Source organism: Homo sapiens, chromosome 3, assembly GCF_000001405.40.
Source record: "Homo sapiens chromosome 3, GRCh38.p14 Primary Assembly".
Lineage (NCBI taxonomy): Eukaryota > Metazoa > Chordata > Mammalia > Primates > Hominidae > Homo > Homo sapiens.
Window position 1 is genome coordinate 157,080,781 of NC_000003.12, and position 20,761 is coordinate 157,101,541.

The 20,761-nt window shown below is 45.4% G+C and overlaps 3 long non-coding RNA genes across 3 annotated transcripts in view, besides 2 other annotated features; 2 read left to right on the forward strand and 1 right to left on the reverse strand.

Annotated features, from left to right (window-relative positions):
* Window positions 1-886: 886 nt before the first annotated feature.
* Window positions 887-20,761, reverse strand: part of LINC00880 (long intergenic non-protein coding RNA 880) — a 41,336-nt gene continuing 21,461 nt past the window's right edge. The window contains exon 4 of the long non-coding RNA NR_034007.1: window positions 887-2,495. This is a non-coding gene — a long non-coding RNA (long intergenic non-protein coding RNA 880). The remainder of the gene's footprint in view (window positions 2,496-20,761) is intronic.
* Window positions 1,061-7,767, forward strand: LINC02029 (long intergenic non-protein coding RNA 2029). The gene is made up of 3 exons (NR_135546.1): window positions 1,061-2,138; window positions 7,079-7,236; window positions 7,507-7,767. It is a non-coding gene; the product is annotated as a long intergenic non-protein coding RNA 2029 (long non-coding RNA).
* Window positions 8,396-8,445: a silencer, noted in NCBI's record as "silent region_14843". NCBI's record gives its function as "represses an Ori minimal core promoter by ATAC-STARR-seq in GM12878 lymphoblastoid cells {active_cell/tissue: GM12878}" and the evidence as "EXISTENCE:reporter gene assay evidence [ECO:0000049][PMID:35858748]".
* On the forward strand, window positions 9,101-20,355 carry LINC00881 (long intergenic non-protein coding RNA 881). The gene is made up of 3 exons (NR_034008.1): window positions 9,101-9,342; window positions 18,703-18,801; window positions 19,906-20,355. It is a non-coding gene; the product is annotated as a long intergenic non-protein coding RNA 881 (long non-coding RNA).
* Window positions 9,406-9,505: an enhancer, noted in NCBI's record as "active region_20736". NCBI's record gives its function as "activates an Ori minimal core promoter by ATAC-STARR-seq in GM12878 lymphoblastoid cells {active_cell/tissue: GM12878}" and the evidence as "EXISTENCE:reporter gene assay evidence [ECO:0000049][PMID:35858748]".

Genomic DNA, 20,761 nt, shown 5'->3' on the forward strand with positions numbered 1-20,761 from the left:
TTTTAGGTAATTCTTGAGAGCATTTTGCAAACTATTAAAGTAACTTGATATCATGCTATATCTTTAAAAGATATTTCTCAGCTGTGAATACTATTGGAATGAAATCGGGACTTTTCAAAAAAGTCTGCAGCATGAAAAGGTTTGCATATGAATTCTGATTCCATTAGAAAACCATTTCTTTTAGGACTGTTTTATCATTCTCTATTGGTTCATGTAATATGATTGGTTTGTTCTTATTCTAATTAAAGATGCAATTTATTAAAGAGTCTTTAACTTCACTAAGGCAAAGTTTAAAAAGCTTCTAATCAGATATTCTTGGTAGGCAGGAGAACTATAACCTTCAAACTCTCTGATGTTGTATGAAGCAGCTCTCATCTCTACACAAAGATTTTCACTTCTGTGATCTGGCCTGGTAAAACATTTATTCCTTTATACTCAGTCCTAGTTTGTTTTAGATCTGGGCCTCTGGGCCCATTAATTTGTATAGGATGATAATTTGTATAGGAAGACAGGTGTGCTGTTTTTCTTCAATCCTTGAGGATATTAGGAAAAACTTTAACCAATTAAGGGATCCCATCACCTGACGTTTCTTTGGGGAAAATGACTTTTGAAGGCATGTGGGGATTGTCAAGGAAATAATTTTCCCTTTAAATTACATGTTTGTACGTAAGAGGAATGCTGAGCAGGATATCAAGAGGCAGTGGTCACTCATGGCACTATTTTCAAAGTTAGTTAAACAAGGAAACCAACTCACATTTCCCCAGTTTAGCTTTTCATTTTTAAAACTTGCTGAATTCAGGTACATCTCGATTGCTCGTGGTAATAAAGGAGACATTAGGCGTGGATAACAAGACCGCAAATGGTGAGTAAAGCAAGACACCAGGTATCATTTCTTTCCTGTTTATTAACATTCACTCCAGGCTGTATACTTTGGTTACCATGGTCGCGTGGTGTCTGATGTCACAGGCCAAACCATATAAAATCACAGAGGCCACAACAGGCAGGAGGAGCGGCCTGGCTTTGTCTGAGTCAGGCAGCCCAGCGTGTGGGATGCCAGGCTGGATGTGCTGGGCCTGACCAGCCGCCCGCTTTCCTCTTCTCTTGCCTCTGCCTGCCCCCTGGTGGACAGCTGGGGTAAAGCATGGGAGTGCGCCTTTGGGGTCTCAGTGGGGCTGAAATACGACTCCTCCCCTAGGACAGCCTGCCTTCCCCAGCCTTGTTCTCCGGCAAAGTCAATTTCCTGGAGAATCGAGGCTCTGCCTCAGATGTTCGGAGCCTCCGCAGGATGAACACCTCCATTTCAATTCCAGGGGCTTTGATCAACCTGTGCCTCCCTTGATCCCCAACTTGTGGGCACCTTCCCTTGAGCAGTGCCCCCACGAGGTACACCTTTCCCGGGAAACAAAAATCATTCCTTCTTTGGGTCCTGCAAGCTGTAAAGAACCAATACAGCACTGTGCTACTGAACATGTTGCCACTATAGAAGCCCCTTGTGTTTTGAAGAGTACATCTCTATAGCCATTCGTTTATTCATCAGAAACCAGCTAGAAGCCAGGCCCTGTGCTGGGCGCTGGAGACATGGAAGAAACTGGGCTGAGGCTCCCGCCTTGAAGAGCTTGTGGCCCAGGGAAGGGACAGTTCATCTGTCATTGATTGCCACGTGACAGTGTCTATGATGCTAAAAAGATGCCAGTGCTGTGCTGCAGGAGCAAAGGCCGTGGAGGAAGAGGCTTTGGCTTTGTTGCGAGTCCTTGCCAGAGCCAGGCAAAGCCAGTCACCGCTTTGTTCAGATGACTCAGGTAAATAAATGAGGCCGCACAGGCTGTCCTGACACCACACACCTCTAGAATACCCTGGCTGTGCTGGGAGCTATTGGTGTCAGCTGAGTATTTTCATCCCTGTCCAAGTCACAATGATCTGACTGTACCAGCCTGTGTGGATGTTGCTAAGAGGAGGCAGACAGCACCATGAGCTCCCTTAGATGACGATCGGCATGATGTTCCTGCTGTGGCAGCGCTCAGCTCTTGCCAATGCTCTTCTCTGCTTTGCTCACTTTAAGCCTCCCTTAATTTTTTTGAAGCCCAGTTTCCACATTGCTGATTCACAGATATGCAAGACTCAGGCAGGAAAAAAAAAAGGTAATTATTTCAAATGACTCAGGCGCCCTCCTTGACTCTGGGATCTCTGTACAGACTTGCACTTTAAAAGCTGAGGGTAATGATGTTGTCATTTGTATAGGAAAGGCTGGAAGAAAAACACATTAGTGTTCTTCCAAACTCTTGACTTTTGGAAAAAATTAGCATAGAGAGGATGGATGCTCAGCCATGGCCTGACATCGAATGCCTAATGCAGAGGTGAAGACACCTGCACAGTCCCATGCACTGGCGAGCTTCCTGGGGACAAGGGCAGTGCCTTGATCACCTCTCTTCCTCGTGCAGTAAATGTTTGTTGGATGAATGGTTGTCAACTCTAGTCCTGTCAGTCCTCCCTGAGCCCTGAAACAGAAATTAGGAAATAATAACAATTAGCAGGTCCTATACTCCTAGATTTAAGATTTTTGAACAAATAAGGGAAAATTATTTGCCTGCTACAAAACTGCTAAGAGAGATGACAATGAAGGAAGGGTGGGAATCATCTAAGGGAAAGAAGAGGGGAATCAATTGCTCCACCAGTGGCTTGCTGAAAAGCTTTCCACACTTGTAGAAAAAAATCCCCCACCGCCAAGAGTAGAGGCCCCAGCAAGGGCAGTCACAGCAATGGTGGCCGTCAGGTGCCCTATGCAGCAGAGTGGAGCCATGGGCAGCAAGTAGATCATGCTGGGATAAAGGCTGTGGGGGCTGTGCTAGGGATGGCAGTAACACATGGAGACTCTCAGTAAGGGGGCCTGAGGTGTCATCCACCCCCAACTCGACCATTCCTCCCCTCCCCAGAGAAAAGCCAGCATCAGCATCTAAGGGAGGGAGGGCTAGTGTGGCTGGATGGGGTGGCAGGGGTAGGAGGCACAGCCAAAGGCTCTGGAAATCAGCTTGAAATCTTAGGTTTTCCCTGAGGCTGCTATAGCTTGGGGGAATGGAGTTACATCTAACTGTAAATGTTGTTCACACTCAGTCTAAAGAAAGTCCAAAAGTCATTTTAGGATGGTGGTGTACTTCAAATTACTTTTCTATGCCCCAGTTTTGGGTTCCATTAAATTCTCATTCTTCCCGCATTTCTGTTTTTCCTCCAGGTACCCTCAAAGAGCACCCATAATTCATTCATTCATTCATTCATTCACTTATTCAACAAATACTGATTGAATCCCTGCTCTTTACCAGGCTATGCTAGGTACCAAGAATATAGGGTCAGCAAAGGCAGGCATGGTCCCTGCCTTCAAAAGGAGAGGACCTTGATCAAACACACACACAAGTTAACATCATTGCAATGTGTGGGGTCCTGGGTATATAATGAGGGGATTTGGTTAATAAGGGACGTCAGGGAAATCTCTGAGGAAATGATGAGTGAAATAAAATCTGAAGGAACAATAAGATTAACTAAGCCCAGTGGGTCCTGGGCAACCCCTAGAGTGGGGCTGCACATGTGTATTCAAGGCCATGAAAGATGGCAAGTGTGACCTGAGTGCAGACAGCAAGGAGGTGAGATTCTCAATCAGGCTGGGGAAGGCCATGCACGGGGAGCCACTGAAGTGTTGAAGTGGCCAGGTGATGTGATCCAATGTGCATTTCAGAAAGAGTTTGATCTCCCTGTGGAGAACAACTTGGAAAACGTCATAACTAAATGTCATTAGACCAGTTAGGAAGCTATTTGCTGCAGGTGAATTGGGGTCCAAGAGAGGAACAATGGAGGGGAAAATGATGATGGGGTAGATAGGCTTACAACATATTCCACTCCTGAAAGATCTTCCAACAGCCTTGCCCTGCAATGAGCCCTTCCCTTCATGGGCTAGATCACCATCTGAGAGAAAAGCACAACCTTCCTTTCCTTCAGCTTTGTCCCTAAGGATGTCTCTTTAACTTGTCCCTTGGGATGCCTTCATGGTTTCTTTCTAGCTTGCTCAAAAAATGAAGTAAAGCATGTCCATGATACCTGGGACATATCAACTTCAAGGTCATGGATTGAAATGATGATAACTCAAATTATAGGACTGTCAACTTTCAAGCCCCCCTGACCTTAAGTGATGGATCAAGGGGCTGGAATCAGATCAAGAGAGCTTCAAACCACTGCTGGCTGCTAGAGCATTCAATCTGCTGACTGGATGCTTAATATAATATATAATATAATATATAATATAATATTGGAATATATATATATGTGCATATATATGTGTGTGTGTGTGTGTGTGTGTGTGTGTGTGTATAGTCCAATTACCCAAAGTGGTCTTCTTCCAAACATTTTGAGGATGCTGTAATAAGATCCCTGCATCAGGTGAAAGTGGAACTAGTTACCAGATGTTCTCTTCTGCCTGGGATCCCTGCTCCTGCAAGACAGTCAGTAATCCGTTCCAAGAATGATGTTTTACCATGGTGCTGTGCTAGGCACCAGGGATTGGAAGATGAAGAAACATTTCCTGTGCTCCTGGAGCTGCAGCCTAGCAGGCCTACCAATAAGGACAGCGCCATGGGATATGCTGCAGCACAGGCGGAAGCAAAGCGCTGTGGAGACCCCAAGGCCAGATATAGGAGCTCTGCCTGGCTGAGTTAGGAAGGTTCTCCAGAGGTCACATCTGATCCAGGTGTCAAGGGATGAGCAGGAATTTATCTTGTGAAGAAGAGGTGGCTGGTTGTTTCAGCAAAAGAAATAGCTCCTAAAAAGACACCTGAGAGTAAGATGTGCCCCAAAAGTGTCCCCAGGGGTGATAGAGAGGCTGTAGCAGGAGGTAAGTCTGGAGACAGAATTCTGGTGGGGTTACTGGAGCAGGAGGGTCTGTCTGCTTTAGGGAATATACTGTGTTAGTTTTCTATTGCTGCATAGCAAATGACCCCAAAACTGAGACGCTTAAAACAGTCAACATGTGTTATCGTATAGTTTTCATGGGTCAGGAACACAGTTGTAACTTAGCAGTCCTCTGGCTCAGGGTCTCACAGGCTGTAATCAAGGTGTCAGCCAGGACCAAAGGCAACTCAAAGTTCTACCAAAGGAGGGTGAACTTCCAGGTTCACTCCTGTGGCTGCTGGCTGGAGACATCAGTTCCTTGCCACATAGGCCTCTCCACGGGGCAGGTCCCAACATGGCAGTTGGCTTAGAGAGAGACTTTTTGTAACCCAATCTTGGAAGTGACATCCCATCACTTTTGCTGTATTCAATTTGTTTAAAGCCAAGCACCAGGTCCATCCAGCCCACGCTGAAGAAGAGGTTACATGAGACAGAGAATACCAGGAAGTGATGATTACTGGGGGCTGTTTTAGAGGCTGCCTACGGCATATACCAAGAGCTATTTATGGCCTCATTGCAGCATTATCCCACTCTGCATAAATTATAGAGAAAGACATATAATTTTATTGCATATTAGTTTTTGTTGATGGGTACATTCTGGTCCCTAGGAGCCCTGAAGAACAATGTGCTTCATTTCACAGCTCTCCCTAAGGATTTTATACAACCCACTTGGCACTCACACTGTTATTATTAAATGGATTCAGCCAAAAGCTGCCTGTGGGGGTAGAGATCGGTGGGAAGGTAGGGCGGCAGAGAAAGGAAGTGCTCAGGACCCCAAATTGAATAAAGAAAAAGGTCACACGCCAACTGCAAGTTAGAAATGAATCTGAGTGAAAGTAAGTATCCTGGTTGACAGCTCACACATGATGCCAACTTGCCACAGCTTGGCAGCGCCTTTGGTTTTCCCACATGCAACTGAAAATAGCTAGCATTCATCCTGAGAGAGTGCTACTAAAATAAGTAACTACTTGGAGCTATACCTCACTGCTCATTCAAGCTGGAAGCTGTGTGCAATTATTTTGCTGAAATTAGATACAAATTAAGTTGCCACTTCCGGAACTCTTTCTCCTGTGCTATATTACAAAAAAGAAAGTGATTTTTGAACTCGGATAGCTTAGATGTTGCTTCTTAAAAATAAATGTAATCTCTTGACAGAATATCTAAAAAGACAGATTATTGATTTTAATCTCTCAGGAGACCTAACCTCTTCACGATCCAGGTTTCCTGATTTTCAGACCTGAGTTAAGTTGCTATGGATACAGAGTGACAGGCCAGTGAAGGAAACTGGGGACAGGGAGTGGCCTGCCCACAGGTGAGATATACTGTCTTTAAGCTTGTTAGGGATAGAAAAGGGGGCTAGCCTAGAATTGTCCTCTGGGACATAAGGTAATGGTCCTGCTCCCACTTTTTAAACAGTGGTTTGAAAGTTTTCTCAGGGTGTGCATACATTTGGACGTACAAGTTCTGCTACGTTTTAAAAAGCAAAACAGAATAAACAAACATATATGAAAACAAACAATAATAATGATAATCTGGGGCTTTCCTCAAACTTGGCTGGAAGTTACTGGCACACAAATAGTAGAGGTGTTTGGGGGTTTTCTGCTATGAAGGAGTCCTTGATTTGTACTATCTCAATAAAGCAACCTTCTTTTGACCTGCCTTTGGAAGAAGTAGGTGAATTTCTAAGAGCCCAGCTGTGCTGGACCCTAGGAGGCTGTCAAGACTCCCAGGGTAGGAATGTTCCTCCACAACTTTGAATTTCAATTTCCCTTTACAAAAGGCAAAATTTGTTTTATTCCCCATTGTTGGAGACATTAGTCATGGATGAAACAAATTTAAAACTCCCCCTATGCCCTGCTTCTTGCCCACCCCACACATTCCCACTCTATATCCTCATTCCAATCTAGTGAATCTTAGAAATGACACATTGAATGAAGAGCTTTGCAGGTAACCTTCCCTTCCTAATGAAGTTTCCTTTTTGCGGGGTTTTGGTGTGTGTGTGTGTGTGTGTTTGTAGTTCCATAATTCTCAAATGAAAAATTGCTAAAAGGTCATCTATACAAATCCTTAAGATGGTGAACCTCTACAACCTTACTTTAATTTTAGGAGATATTTCATTTCATGCCTTAAGTTTTGCAATTATTTTCAGTGTCTCCTTTTCCAGACTTCTTAGAGGACTTGGAAAGAAAATGAAATGACGTTGAACGAAATCAAAGTAAATTGAGTGATCTGAAACGATTTGATGTCAGCAAGAATTCCCCATACAGCTCACAGCCCTACCCCGAGCACGCCTCCCTCTTGGGTATGGTGAGTTCAGCTCCAAATTTATTCTGACAAGAAAGCACAGGCAATGGCTTCAGTGGGTCTAAATCAGGTGAAAATTCAAAGCAATCACCCTTCCTGGACAATCTTCTGCTTTCTCAGTGCTTATCATGGTCTGAAAATTCCTATTTAAAGAAGCAGAGCTTTCTTTTAAGTCCTAACAGAACAAAGTCACACTCAACAGTGCACAGGCACACGCCGGGATCGAGAATGCATTTTTGGCAAAAAGTCTCCTCTTTTCTCTGTCTCCTCCAGCTCTCTGCAGGCCCAAACCTTGCAGAAGCCATTCCATGTTTCCTGAGCAGGAAAAGACAAACTCAGACCGACAACCTTGGACTTCAAAAGACTGCACACAAGGGGAGGAAGGACTGAGAGTACCAAGGCGTGAGAATTCAGAATGCTGCTATCTCATTTATTTTTACCATTTAGGAAACGTTTTGATCTGCATTCCTTTTCCCTTCCCTGATTTCAAAAAATAAAAATAAAAATGCTTCGGTTCTGAGGAGTAACTCTCCAGATGGAAGGGGAAGATCAGGGGATGAATGGGGGAGGGCTGCTTGCGTCCTCTCCCCTGCCACACACACGCTCTCTGTTTCAGCCAGTGTAAAAATAGCCGCCCAGGTTTATGTATTCATCCCTAAGCTGCAATGAAGCGCCTGCCTCCCGGCCAGAGTCCGCTGCCTTTTAGTAGCTTATAACATCAGGTGACGCCTCCAGCCCTCCCATTCCCCGCCCCAGCCCGGATAAACGTCCTCCGTGACCTTAGAAGTTTTCAGTTTAATCAGCGGTATCGTTTTTGAGAGGAAAATCCTCCCAGCTTTGCGGGCTGGCAGGGCTCTGGGGCCCTCCCCTGCCTCCCAGCCCAGGCCGCAGAGCGAGAGCGTTTCCATCTGTGCTGCGAGCGGGAAGAGCCTCTCTGTGCTCCCCGGCACGTCCAGCGCGCGGGCGGGAACACGCTCTCCTGTGGGGGGCAGCTTTCCCAGGGACCTTGCCTAACGAGGGCCAGGCGGCTCCCCCGTGGGCCCCGAATGGCTCCTGGCAGGCAGACCCCTATCCCTGTCGAGAGCACTGATTTCCCCAGCGTCGGGGGAGGCAGCCGCGCCCTCCTGGAGCGAGGCAATCCAGCGGTCAGGCGGCGGCGAGGGCCTGCGCGTGCGCAGAAAAGAGCTGCCTCCGCGCCAGGCAAGGGGCGCGAGGGCGGAGGATGGAGGGCGAGGGCGCATGCGTCAGCCGTGCCGCTGGGGCCGCGTAGGAGAGCTGAGCTGCTGGGTCCTGCCGTCAGTGCAGTTTCTTGGCAGCACGTTGGGGACACTGCGCCATGAGAACAGAGCCACAGAATGTTAAAGGCACAGCCTCCTTCGAGGGCATTTGCATAATGCCTCCCGTTTACAGATGAGGAAATTGAGGCCCAAAGAGGTGATGGGAAAGGCCCAAAGCTGCATTTCTGGCTTCTGGCAGCTGGGACCAGATCCAGCTCGTATTGACATGGTTTAAGCACTTCTTCAATGAGCACTTATCAAAAGCCTAGATACTGTGTACTCAGTGTCTTGAGTGGCAGCGAAAGATAACCACGAATACGTCAGAAGCAGTGTAGCCACGGCTGCCCTGGATTTGGGCATAGAATCAGACAGACCTGGGTTTGATATGATGATTTCCAGAACCACACTACTAGTTGGATGGCCTTAGTGAAGCAGTTAACCGCTCCATGCCCTAGCTTTCTGGTCTGCAAAACGGAGATAAAAATAGGCTAGGGTCGTGGGATTTAAATGAGATAAGGTGCACATTGTTTAGCACAGTGCCTGCGCATGGAAGGCTCTCAAATAAATATTCGTGCAATGTTTTGAGAAGTAGAAAGTGCTAGGCACGTAGGCGTTCAGGAGACAGTCACGGTACTCGTTTCCAGACAGAAGTCATGAGGAACAAGAGGGAAGGTGCTTTCCCGTGTGCAGCGCTTGGGGAGACTCACACAGACAGAGGATCTGGCATGACAGGGAAAGGAGGAAATGGCTTCTGTTAATCTCTCCTTCAGCTTCTCCCGCCCTTCCCATGCACTCTTCCTGTTTCCCTTTCCAGTTCTCACGGTGACTCAAGGTAGGTGGCTGCAGAGAGACATTGGGACCTCTTACCAGGGAAAATATGTTCTGTAATCTGGCATAATTTAAGTTTTAAGTCCCATTTTATCATAGGGGTTCCCCTCCCCTTTACCTAGGTGTGATAGGCACAAGAAAAAGGAATGGAGTTAAGTGGATAAGTGACTAAGGTGTCACATTGGAGTAGTGTGGATCATAGATCTCAGAGCTGAAGATCATCTAGGTGGACTCCCTCATATTAAAGAAGAAGCAGTGAAAAACTGTGAAAGGCAAAATGACATCAAGTTTCAGACTCAAGTTGGAGCCATGGTGTTCTGTAGCACCATAGTTCATTCATCCACTCATACACACTACTCTGGGTGGATATCTGATATACTGCCAGGTACAAGGTTCTGCCTCAGTAGGCAGGGAAAGGGGAAAGGAAATAGAAATCCGGGAGGATTCTCGGGTTCTTTGTGCAGCTTCATGGATGTTGATACCATTTACTGTGATTGCAAGTAGAGGAACAGAAATGGACCTGAGAGGAAGATGGCATGTTTTGAACATGGGTTTGAGGTGGCTGTAGGACATCCAGGTGGAGACCTCCAGGAAGAGTTAGGAACATGAGTTCCAAGCACAGGAGAGAGGCCTGGAGGTGCCCACTGGGGAACAGTCAACTTAAAGATGGTCACTGAAGCCAAGGCAGGGCTGGGATGGCCCAGAAGAGCAGGCAGAATGAAAAGACTATGAAAGCATGAAACCCAAACCTGACAGATACCAGATCCTAAGGATCAAATAAGAGATCCTGAGGAACAGATGGAGAAATGGAAAGAAAACCAGAAAAAAGTGGCATCAAGCAGTTCACATCAAGACTCTCCAGGTTGAAGACGTAGTCAGGAGTGGGAAATGCCACCGAGATGTGAAGCAAATGAGCACCGGAATATGTCTGTTGTATTTGACAATGAGGAAGTCATTGATTACTTGTGAGACATTGGTTTTAGTGGGGATGTGAGGGCAGAAACAAAATCACACTAGGTTAGAAGCAAAATGGAGTCAAAGAAGAGAAGAGGCAGGGGTAGTGGGTATAAACCACTGCTTCAAGAGAGTTGGTTAGGCAGGGAGGGGGAAGTTACAGCTAAAAGGGGAGGCAGGGAGAGTTTCCTTTATTCATTGTCGTTTTGTTTTATTTGTTGTGTTTTGTTTTTGCAACTATGGGAAACTGGAACGAGCTTATAGGAAAGGGGAAGCAGGAGGGGTCAGCAAGGAGAAATAACTTGGAGTCTCAGTACAACCCCCAGCACCACCACAGGGTGAGTGACAGAAGAGGGGATTCTGGCCCCAGATAACCCAAAGGAAGGGATCCTCTTCCTTGGTTATTTTTTTTCTACCACTGGAAAGGAAGAAACGTACATGGGAGGTTTAGAAATGGACTTGGGGAGCTCTTTAAGCAAGGTTTATCTGTGTCAGGATCTAACCCTGGCAGTAATCTTACCATCAAATGCATTTAATCAGACCCATTTGCATGTGGAGCTGTGCCCAGTGCTATTCAAATAATGTGAAATGGATACTGTTATTACCATGTCAGTCAGGACTATGGGTAGCAAGTGACTGAAACCCAGCTCTAACCACGGGATCCATGGGTTTGCTAAAAACTGGGTAGACTGGCTTTAGGCCCAGTTAGATTTCAGGTGCTTTAAAGGTGTTGTCATGTATGATAGGCATAATGTTTTGAAATTATCAATGTAGTTTTCTCTTTTGCCTTTCAAAGCATATGAACTTAGTCTACTCTAGGCATTTATCTGCCTAGGAAGAAATGAAAGTTCTTTCCAGAAAGTATGCAAAGAGAAAGAAAACATAACACTCAGCTTCTGGCATTCAAAAATAAATTTTGTAGCAAGGCAATAGCCATGTAATTCAAGCCCTTACCTTGAGAAAATATCCTGTACATTCCATTACCTTCCTCTTCAGAGGGTCAAGAACTGAGCTTGGTAGACTAAACCTTAGGGTTTTATATTCGAAAGGTCTAGACCAGGAGAAAGTGGGGATTATCAGAGGACAGAAGTAGCAGAATAAACAAGAGGCCTGAGTGGAGAGATTGTATTGGAAAAGTAAAGCTTAACCACAAAGGCAGAGGGAGATCGTTCCCCCACGCCCCCTCCAGAATTATGAGAGGAAGAGCCCAGTGTTGGTCGGGTAGCAGCAGGCCCTGCTATGGACTTTTCAAGCTCTGTCAGGTCCCTGGGAAGGCTAGATTCTACCCAGACATAGCAGAAAGCCTGTAGCCAGCTTGCCAGAGGTGATCATTGTAGTGAGGTGACTCAGTGGTTTGGGCTGCCGAGGAGACCCCTGGGACCAGGGTTGATAGGAAGTCATGGACAGAAGTCGGAGTCTGTAGCAGCAGGAAAAGCAGAGAAGGAGCTAAGCCAGTCAGGAAACACCTTTGGGAGCACTGCTTCAGATCACCTCAGATGGACACAAGCTCCCCATCCACAGACCCCCACATCAGAGGCTTGCAGTGCACCCAGGACAGACAAAAAGTGGATGTTGTCTCAAAATAATCACATACAAGGCAGCTATGCTCAAGGACCAGTACAAGGACAAAAGTTCCCTTCCTCTCAACACCATGAGGACACAGAAAAGACACACACCACCATACTACCTCCACCCCAGCACACCCTACCTGGATGACGATCAAAACATTTAAAAATCCTTACAGGCTCAGGCGCTGAGGAGTATAAATGGAGATGTCTTACTATGTCCAGAGTTAACCCTTTAGTTGATGGATTATGAGGAGCAGGGACCTCAGGGCAGAACCTGTTTACCAACTGCTCCATGCATACTTTAGTATTTTATCAATGAGGGCAGCCATAATGCCATGTACCTGTTGAATATTGGCCATGCATCCAGATGGCATCTTTATAGGAGGGGAAGGAGAAAGAGGAAGCCATCTGAGAAAGCGAGCATGTTCTCAATGGGGATATTGAATTATTGGATTGAATCAAGATTTAAACCCTAACTAGTGAAGGACCAGACTGGTTATGGACAAACTAGAGAAATTACATTTTATTGGCACATCCAAGTTGCAGTATGAGTTGAATTTACCATCTGTCAGCTTTCTTTGTGTTAGTTTCACTCTCAGGTAGAAGCTCCAAGCATCAGCATACCAAAGGGCAAAGAATCTCTTTCTTAATAGTGCCTGCAAAATCCCAGTCAGGCTCACATTGGCTTAGCTTTGGTAATGTACCCATCTCTGAACCAAGCCCTGATTGGCCAAGCCCAGGTCACATAACTATTCCTAGCGTCATGAACTGAAAGTGGAGTGAGAGGTGGCTCCCCTAAAGAAAATCAAAAGGCTGTGAGCAGAAAAATGGGGTAATGAATGTTGGGTAGGCAGGCACAACAGATAGAACCACTATTGCCTTCTGGAGTTTAACTCTCTAAAACTCAGAAAGCACAGTATCTCCATGGCAGGAAATGAATTGGCACCTGAGCACTTATTCATACATCGATCAGTGTAGAAAACTAACTTTGAAAATCATAAAGCAGATTTATTTTTCCCTCTTAAATTTTCTTCCCACACTGATTAAATTAATTTTAATAATTAGAGTTGGGAAATATAATCAACTAAATATCTAGTATAGTTTAAAGCTTGGTATAAGCTATAAATAGTTCCACTTAGGAAATGCTCAGTCTCCCTTTTTATTGATGTGAAGACAATAACTGTTTTACTTTTTCTCTGTGTATTATTTTCTCTTTTTTAAGAATCACCTTCTTGTTGGGCATGGTAGCTCACACCTGTAATCCCAGCTACTTGAGAGGCTGAGGCAGGAGGATTGCTTGAGCCCAGGAGTTAGGGGCTGCAGTGAGCTATGATTGCACCACTGCAGTCCAGTGACAGAGAAAGACTCTGTCTCTACAAAAAGAAAGAAAAAAAAAACCATAGAATCAACTTCTCCTAAATCCAAGATGAACTGCACAATTAATTTATTGCCTATTTTTAAAAAAGGTTTTTGTAATAAACAAAAGTTAATTATTCCAGATACAAAGAGATCGTAATGGCAGCATCAGCTTTTCTTCACAGACTCTTATTTTCAATGTCACAAAACACTTCCACATAAATTTTTAAATCCACATGATTTTAAAATCAGCCCTAAGTAAAAGGAGATATTTAAAGTCTAGAAAAAGGAAACATAGTCATCAGTTTTACTCCAAAATTTATGCTGTCTTTTGGAAAGAATATTGTTTCATAAAGGATATCTTGATATTTACAATATATAAAACTTAAATCTCAGAATTGAAAAACTCTTTGGGAAAAAAAGTATTAATCATAATAAAGGAAATAAACTCATCATCCTCTAGTGTCTGAGTCACATAATTAATTCAGAAGGGGCTGGCTTTCTCTGCATGTGGGATCCCAGGTATTCATTTATGCATCAAATATTTATCACACCCTTCATAGCTTCTCCGCACTGTGCTGGGCACTGGGGATGTGAAGATGAGTGAGACAGGCTCATGTCTGGGAAGAATGGAGACAGATGGAGAACACAGAGCTCTATGCTGCGGGTATAAGGGCATAATGAGGGCTTGCAAGAGGAACAGTTCGTTTTCCGGGGGTGATGGCTCAGAGACAAGCTGGGATACTAAGCTGCCTGAAGGGTTTGCATTTCCCATGGTGCCCAGTGCAGTGCCGAGAATGAACTTGTAGACCCTTTATTGCTGTGGCTAAGATGGAGGAGGTTTGGAAATCTTTGACAGCTGAGCCCTGTGACAGAAGAGAACAAGAATTCCTGGTCCTCCCAACACCTCGGTATGTGTACTCTGGTGCTGATGTTCAAGGTCGTGGTCATTCCAGTCATGCATTCAGCAGGCAGTCACTGAGCACCTACCAGACACTGCTCAAGCAAAGCAGACTAAAACCTCAAGGAGCTTACTCCTAAAGTAAGCTATACGTTTTGCTATATATTGTGTATCAAAATGCTGATTAATGCTATGGAGAGAAAGGAAACAGGAAATGGGAAAGCAGGGATTATAGGTTGAGGGTTATGTAACATGAAATGGGGTCTTTAAGAAGTCTGAACTGAAGACAGCTCCCTCAGTTACCTAAGCACCAACAACTGTGGCTGGTGACACATTAGGAGCCCTGCAAAGAAAGTGGCCAGCCACCTAATCCCAGAGTTTCCAGGAAGTGGCCAGTTGGAGCCAAGACAGGGTGGTGTGCATCCTCCTTCATACCCCAAGAGTTTTATTATGTGGTGAGTGGAGCTGGTACAGCCAGAGTCTGAAGCAGTCGAGAGGGCATGCCTGGGAAGGTAACAGTCCTTTGTTCTGGAAATGATGAGAAGGTTTGTTTAGATGTAGTCAGGTCCCCAGGCAATGTCTTCTGGGGAAGAAGAGCATCCAGCTCCCTAAAGGAAAGATTTGGCAAGGCCAAGAGAGAAGGTCAAGGCCCTGACCAAGAGAATCAGAATGGAGCATAGATGCCACATCGCTGGAATGGGCTAGGAGGAGTGAGCACATGGGGTACAGGCCCCATCTTTCATGGGCATCAGGCTACAGCTGGGAGGGGAGAAAAGAGAACTTAGGGTCATGTGTAGACCTTTAGGCTGGAACAGAGGGTTGGTATAGGATGACCAGGTTACAGGGGCTTTGGAATCAAGTCAAGGAATATGTGTTTTTCTCAGATCTACTAACACTGGCTCAGGTGTATCTTTGCAGTAGCCAGGACTTGCTTGTTCTGTCATCTGTGTAAGCACCACAGTTCTTTTCTTTTCCTTTTTCTTTGGAGGGGGGGTGGGTGGGATGGAGTCTCACTCTGTCACCCAGGCTGGAATGCAGTGGCATGATCTCCACTCACTGCAACTTCCAGCTCCCTGGTTCAAGCGATTCTTCTGGCTCAGCCTCCCGAGTAGTTGGGACTACAGGCGTGCGCCATCACACCTGGCTAATTTTTGTATTTTTAGTAAAGATGGGGTTTCACCATATTGGCCAGGCTAGTCTCGAACTCCTGACCTTGTGATCTGCCCTCCCTGGCCTCCCAAAGTTCTGGGATTATAGGTATGAGCCACCCGTGCCTGGCCCCACCACAGTTCTTTTAACCATAAGCCAAATAACAATGAAATAAACTGTCAGTTCCCTGGGAGGGCAGCTAGGAATGGGAAGGAAGGTGAAATGGCAAGGAATCCCCGTTTTTCGTGCCCAGAGTATAATTCTCAGTGGAAACCAAGCAGAAACAGACTTAAACAAACCCCTGGGGAGGAGAAAAGCATGTCTAGTAAAGAGTGACCAGCGCAGTTTGCCCTCCTGTATGAATACCAGGGTCACAACAACGTGTCATGTTGCCACTTTGATCACAGGATTTTGGTCAGAAAGAATGTGGGATTTGGACTTTGAGTTTGGCTCTTGACTGTCACCTGTTCAGTGTGTGACCTTGGGTAAGTTTCTTTACCCTCTGAGCCTTCGTTTCCTCATCTGTATAGTGGGAATGTGCAATCTGGAGTCTGTGCTAGGATTCCGTCACATCTAGTGGACTAGCAGGGAAACCCTACAGGGATCTGGGAAAACTCCCTTCTTGAGGAAATGCAGGGAGCTGCGCACAGTGGGCTCACCAAAAGGTGAAGCATCATACTGGAGAAAGGAGTAGTTTTGAGTACACTGTGGTAACAGGGGCGGAACCCCATCCTTCACCCTACCCCATATCAGACCCATGTCTCATTCCTGGGCAGAGTTGTCACTAAAAGCTAAAGGGACTATTTGTTAGTGCTTCATAAGACACTGGAGTACAGGGTCACTGAGATGAAACTCCTATAAATGAACATAAGAGAGAAAAAGGCAACTTTTCCACCTGACAATCCACAGAGCAACTTTACCAGAGTGAGATGGCAGAGCAGAGTAAGGGACAGTGCCTGGGCATTGATTTGCTGATGAGCACATGTAAGACCTCCTACCCCAGGAACTCCCCAAAAGTGCAGGGTAGAAGGTGCTTTGCAGGGAGCTAGGTTCAAAGTGAGAAATGGTGGTAACAAACTAACATTTAGATTATTAGTCTTGATGTGACTTTATTTGTGCATGCGTAGTGTATCACACAGGGTTCTCTAGAGAAACAGAACCAATAGGACATATACAGATATGTAGAAGGGGATCTATTACGGGAATTGGCTCATGCAATTGGCTCGAGAAATTCCATGTTATGCAGTCTGCAAGCTGGAGAACCAGGACAGGTGGGGGTATAATTCAGTCTGATACTGAAAGCCCCAGAACCAGGGGAGCCGATGCTGTAACTCCCAGTCAGAGGCCCAAGGTCTGAGAACGCAGGTGACAGCTTATGTAGAGAATGCAGCTTATGTAAGTCCCAGAGTTGGAAGGCCCAAGAACCTTGAATTCTGGTGTTGGAAGCGAAAGAAGATAACGTCCTGGCTCCAGAAGGGAGAGCAAATTCACCTTTCCTCCACATTTTTGTGGAGGCTGAGGGCCAGTTGGATGCTGCCCACCTGCATTGGTGGGGGTGATCTATACTTAGTCCACTGATTCAAATGCTAATGTCTTCCAGAAACACCCTCACAGACAACCCAGAAATATTGTTTTATCATCTATCTGGATGCCCCTTAACCCAGTGTGGTCGACACAAAATTAACCATCACACCTGGTGGGGGAAACTTGGCTAATACCTACCTCATGGGAATCAAACAGGATGTTCCCAAGCATGAGCCTGGACATGGCAAATACACAGTAAATGGCAAATTCCCTCACAAACCATCCAGGGAACCCACTGGAACCATTGCAGAATGCTCAGAACATCTCCTGGTGTGTTTGGGGATTGGACAACATTCTTGTAGCAAATATCTTTAATCAAAAAGTAACTTAACACATATCTTTGAGCATGTATATGTTCCAGTAAAGTATACATGCTAAGAGGGGTTTGAAATTATCTTTTCTTCTCAGCACTTTACAGTTTACAAAATACTTCAATGTGAATTTTAGTCACGTTAGCTCTTGCAACAACTTAATAATGTAGGATCCCCACATATAAATCAGAAGATTGCATTTCAAAGAGGTGAAGTGACTTGTCCTTAATAACCCAGCTAATAAGGGGTGCAGCTGGACTCAAACCTGGTCTCTTTCCATTAAAGTCTGGTAGAAAACTAAGACCAAAACAAATACAATAATGACAGAAAAAAAAAAAAACCACAGCAAATACGAAAACCTGTGGTTCTGACTCAAAGTGCTGGAGACAAAGACAAATGTCTGTGGCTGGACATCCAGAAGGAGTCAGCTGGGACCTGAGCCGATCTAACTAGAAAATGAAAGGGTGCTGCTGAGGACAGGGAGGCAGGGATGGAGGAGGCAGGTTTCCAGTGGGACCTCACCTGGCACCCCTTGAGCTGGCACCCACCTTTTCACATTTCACAGAGCATTTCTACTGACCTTTCCAAAGGGCACTGCACCTCACTGCTCCCAAATCTCTGAAAGTCAAAACGGAGGCTTTGCTCCTGCATCACTGTCTGGACCATACAAATCACCTCTTGTGACTTTGGCAACTGCTGGTCTCAGGGTTTGTATCCTAGTCATTTCTACTTCTTGGAGAATCATTTATGACATTCTAAAAGTATAGAAAACCATCTACTGAAATGTGTCAACATTAAAACATTAGTTAGCTAGAAATGATGCTCATTTAAGTTACAGAAAAAAACAACAGACAGGAAAAGACATGAGCATTTATGGGCCAGCCTCTGTACTAGCATCTCTCACACTCATGATCTCTTGTTATATTCACTGCAATACAATTTGGGAAATGGTATCATTCCCACTTTGACAGCTGAGGAAATGGACACTCAGAGAGGCTAAGTAACGGCTAAAGTCACACAATTAATAAGCAGCAAATCTAGGATGTGAATCCACGTCTGACTTCAGGGTATTTTGCAATATACCACAGTTTATGGCCTGTGGAATTCAAATGGAATTAAGAGATGACCAGTAAACATAGTTTCATTGCCAGTAAAATTCTTGACTTTGCTTTTTTATTAATTCATATTTACTAACAATGCAATTTCCAAATTACCAGCTTCGGAAGAGTTCTTAAATCATTGAAGTACTCAGGATTCATGGAGTCCTAACAATTAGGATTTGACACTGAGAGAGATGCCACCAGAGGACCCACGTGGAGCTGAGTGACTCTAATGTGAACTTTCTTTTTTGACAGTTCTCTGTAAAAATGTGGCCTATCTTGCACTGGATGGAAGACAAGGAAGAGATTCTCAGTCAAACCTGCCTGGTTTCCTCAAACTCTGTTTAATACAAATGCCAAAGTTTGACACATTCTAACCACTTTGCTTTCTTTGGCAACTCCAACTTTGACAAGAGAGTAAGAATGTCTCCTCCTTGACAGGAACAACGTGTGAAATGAAAGACCTCAGGTGCTGTATTGGCTCTTGACAGCTCTTCAGAAGAAAATACCTCCTGCCTGTTCTGTTCAGTCCTGGTGCAGGTGAGTCACTGCCTTGCCAGCCAGGCAAGTATTTTAAGAAACAAAATCTAAGCCAGAACCAGCAGAGAAATACGAGGGATGGATTAGCGCCATTAGCTTTGATGGTGTCTTGTTGTCATGGTGCTAGGAAAATCACTATCATTTACAGTCCCACTCACCAGCTGTTTTGCTAGAATTTTTGACATGAGAGGCTGGTGGCCACCCTAACACAGGCGTGGGACATGGGTGTGCACACACACGTACACCTGCAGCAGACACCCACTCTAGAGGGCTCACGTTGGTTGTCTGGGACGTGATTCAAAGGCTGTACCCATGTGTATGACAATCCTGTTTCCCGTACATCAGCTTCCAGGAAGCCAAATGACCCACCGGCTTACCCACATCGCAGGAAGCTTTGGAGCAGAGTCAGTGACTATGTGAACCTGCCTCAACCTCTGCTCCCTGGTTCAGCATTTGGCTTGGGAAAAATGACACTATTTCCTGTCTCTTAAACATTATTTCAAGGCACAGGTCTTCCACCATTCTGAGAGGCAGGGGGATCTTTGAGTTCTGCCAGGAGCTGGGGGTTAGGGGTAGGGGAATCCCGCCCAAGGGAAATGACTAGAATCTTTGTCAGGCTGTGGAACACAGGCATTTCTGGATAGGTGGCCTCCCCTGTGGCCTCTCCTGGCATCTACACTGCAAAGTCCCCTGTATCTACTGAAAGGGGTGAGGGTGGGGGCATTCATTGGTACTGGGAGGCAAGCTTTGAGTGGAAAGGAGCTTCTCTCGTGGCCCTCCAGTGAGCCACACTAGAGGAGGCCTCAGATGCATGGTGCTCCCTGCTCAGACTCACACTTGCCTGACTCCCTCCTTCGTGCTCTTCCTTCGGCTGCCCTTACCTGGGGGACTACAGTGGCTGTGGGGGTGCAGCGGGGGTTGGGGGGGGCGGCATACCTCACTACCTGGCTTTTCCCAAGTCCCTTTAATTAAGCCAAATCTTTGTATGAATGTAAAATACAAGTAGGCTTTATCCCTGGGCCCTGTGCTCCTCTGCCCCAGATTCTGACTCAAGGGCTTGGAGCAGACTTATTTTTACTAAAAGCCCAAGTGATTCGATTGCAGGTGGTCCTGGACAACACTTTGAAAAATGCTGGGGCAGAAACAAGCCAGCAAGCATATGGGATTCATCTGCTGTGAGTGATAATTTATCTAGTTTCTAAAAATAGTGTTATAGGCTGGACTGTGTCCCCTTCCTGTGCCCCGCCGCCATGCATATATGGACGCCTAGTACCTCAGAATGTGACTGTATTTGGAAACAGGGCCTTTGAAGAAGTAATTAAGTTAAAATGAGGTCATTAGGGTGGGCAGTAATACAGTATAACTGGTGTCCTTATAAGAAGAGATTAGGACACAGATGCACACAGAGGGAAGACCATATGAACACAGAGGGAGAAGACAGCCACCTGCAAGCCACAGAGAGAGCCCTTCAAAGAAACCAACCCTGCAGACAATTTGATCTCAGGTTTCTGGCCTCCAGAATTGTGAGAAAATAAATTTCTGTTGTTTAAGTCACCCAGTCTGTGGTATTTTGTTATGGCGGCGAAGCTAACGAACACAAACAGAAGGCTGATTTCACTTAATAATCATCTCAGAAGGCAGAGATTGCTTCAAACTATTGCATAAACAAGGCTGGTTTGTGAACCAAAGGACATGAGCCCCAAACCTGGAGTCGCAGAGGCAGCATGACAGCACAGACAGCACAGCTTCTGGTGTCAGGCATTCCTGCACTCAAAGTCTCAAAGAACCTTCCTCCCTAGCCTTCCACCTGAGTTACTTTAGACAAGGCAGCTGTTATTTTATTTAACAAATATATGTATACAGTGCTTACTATGTGCCAGATAATAGTCTATGCACTGTACAAATACTAAGTAATCTAATCCTCATTATAACCCTGTGATAGATACACTGAAGAGCCACA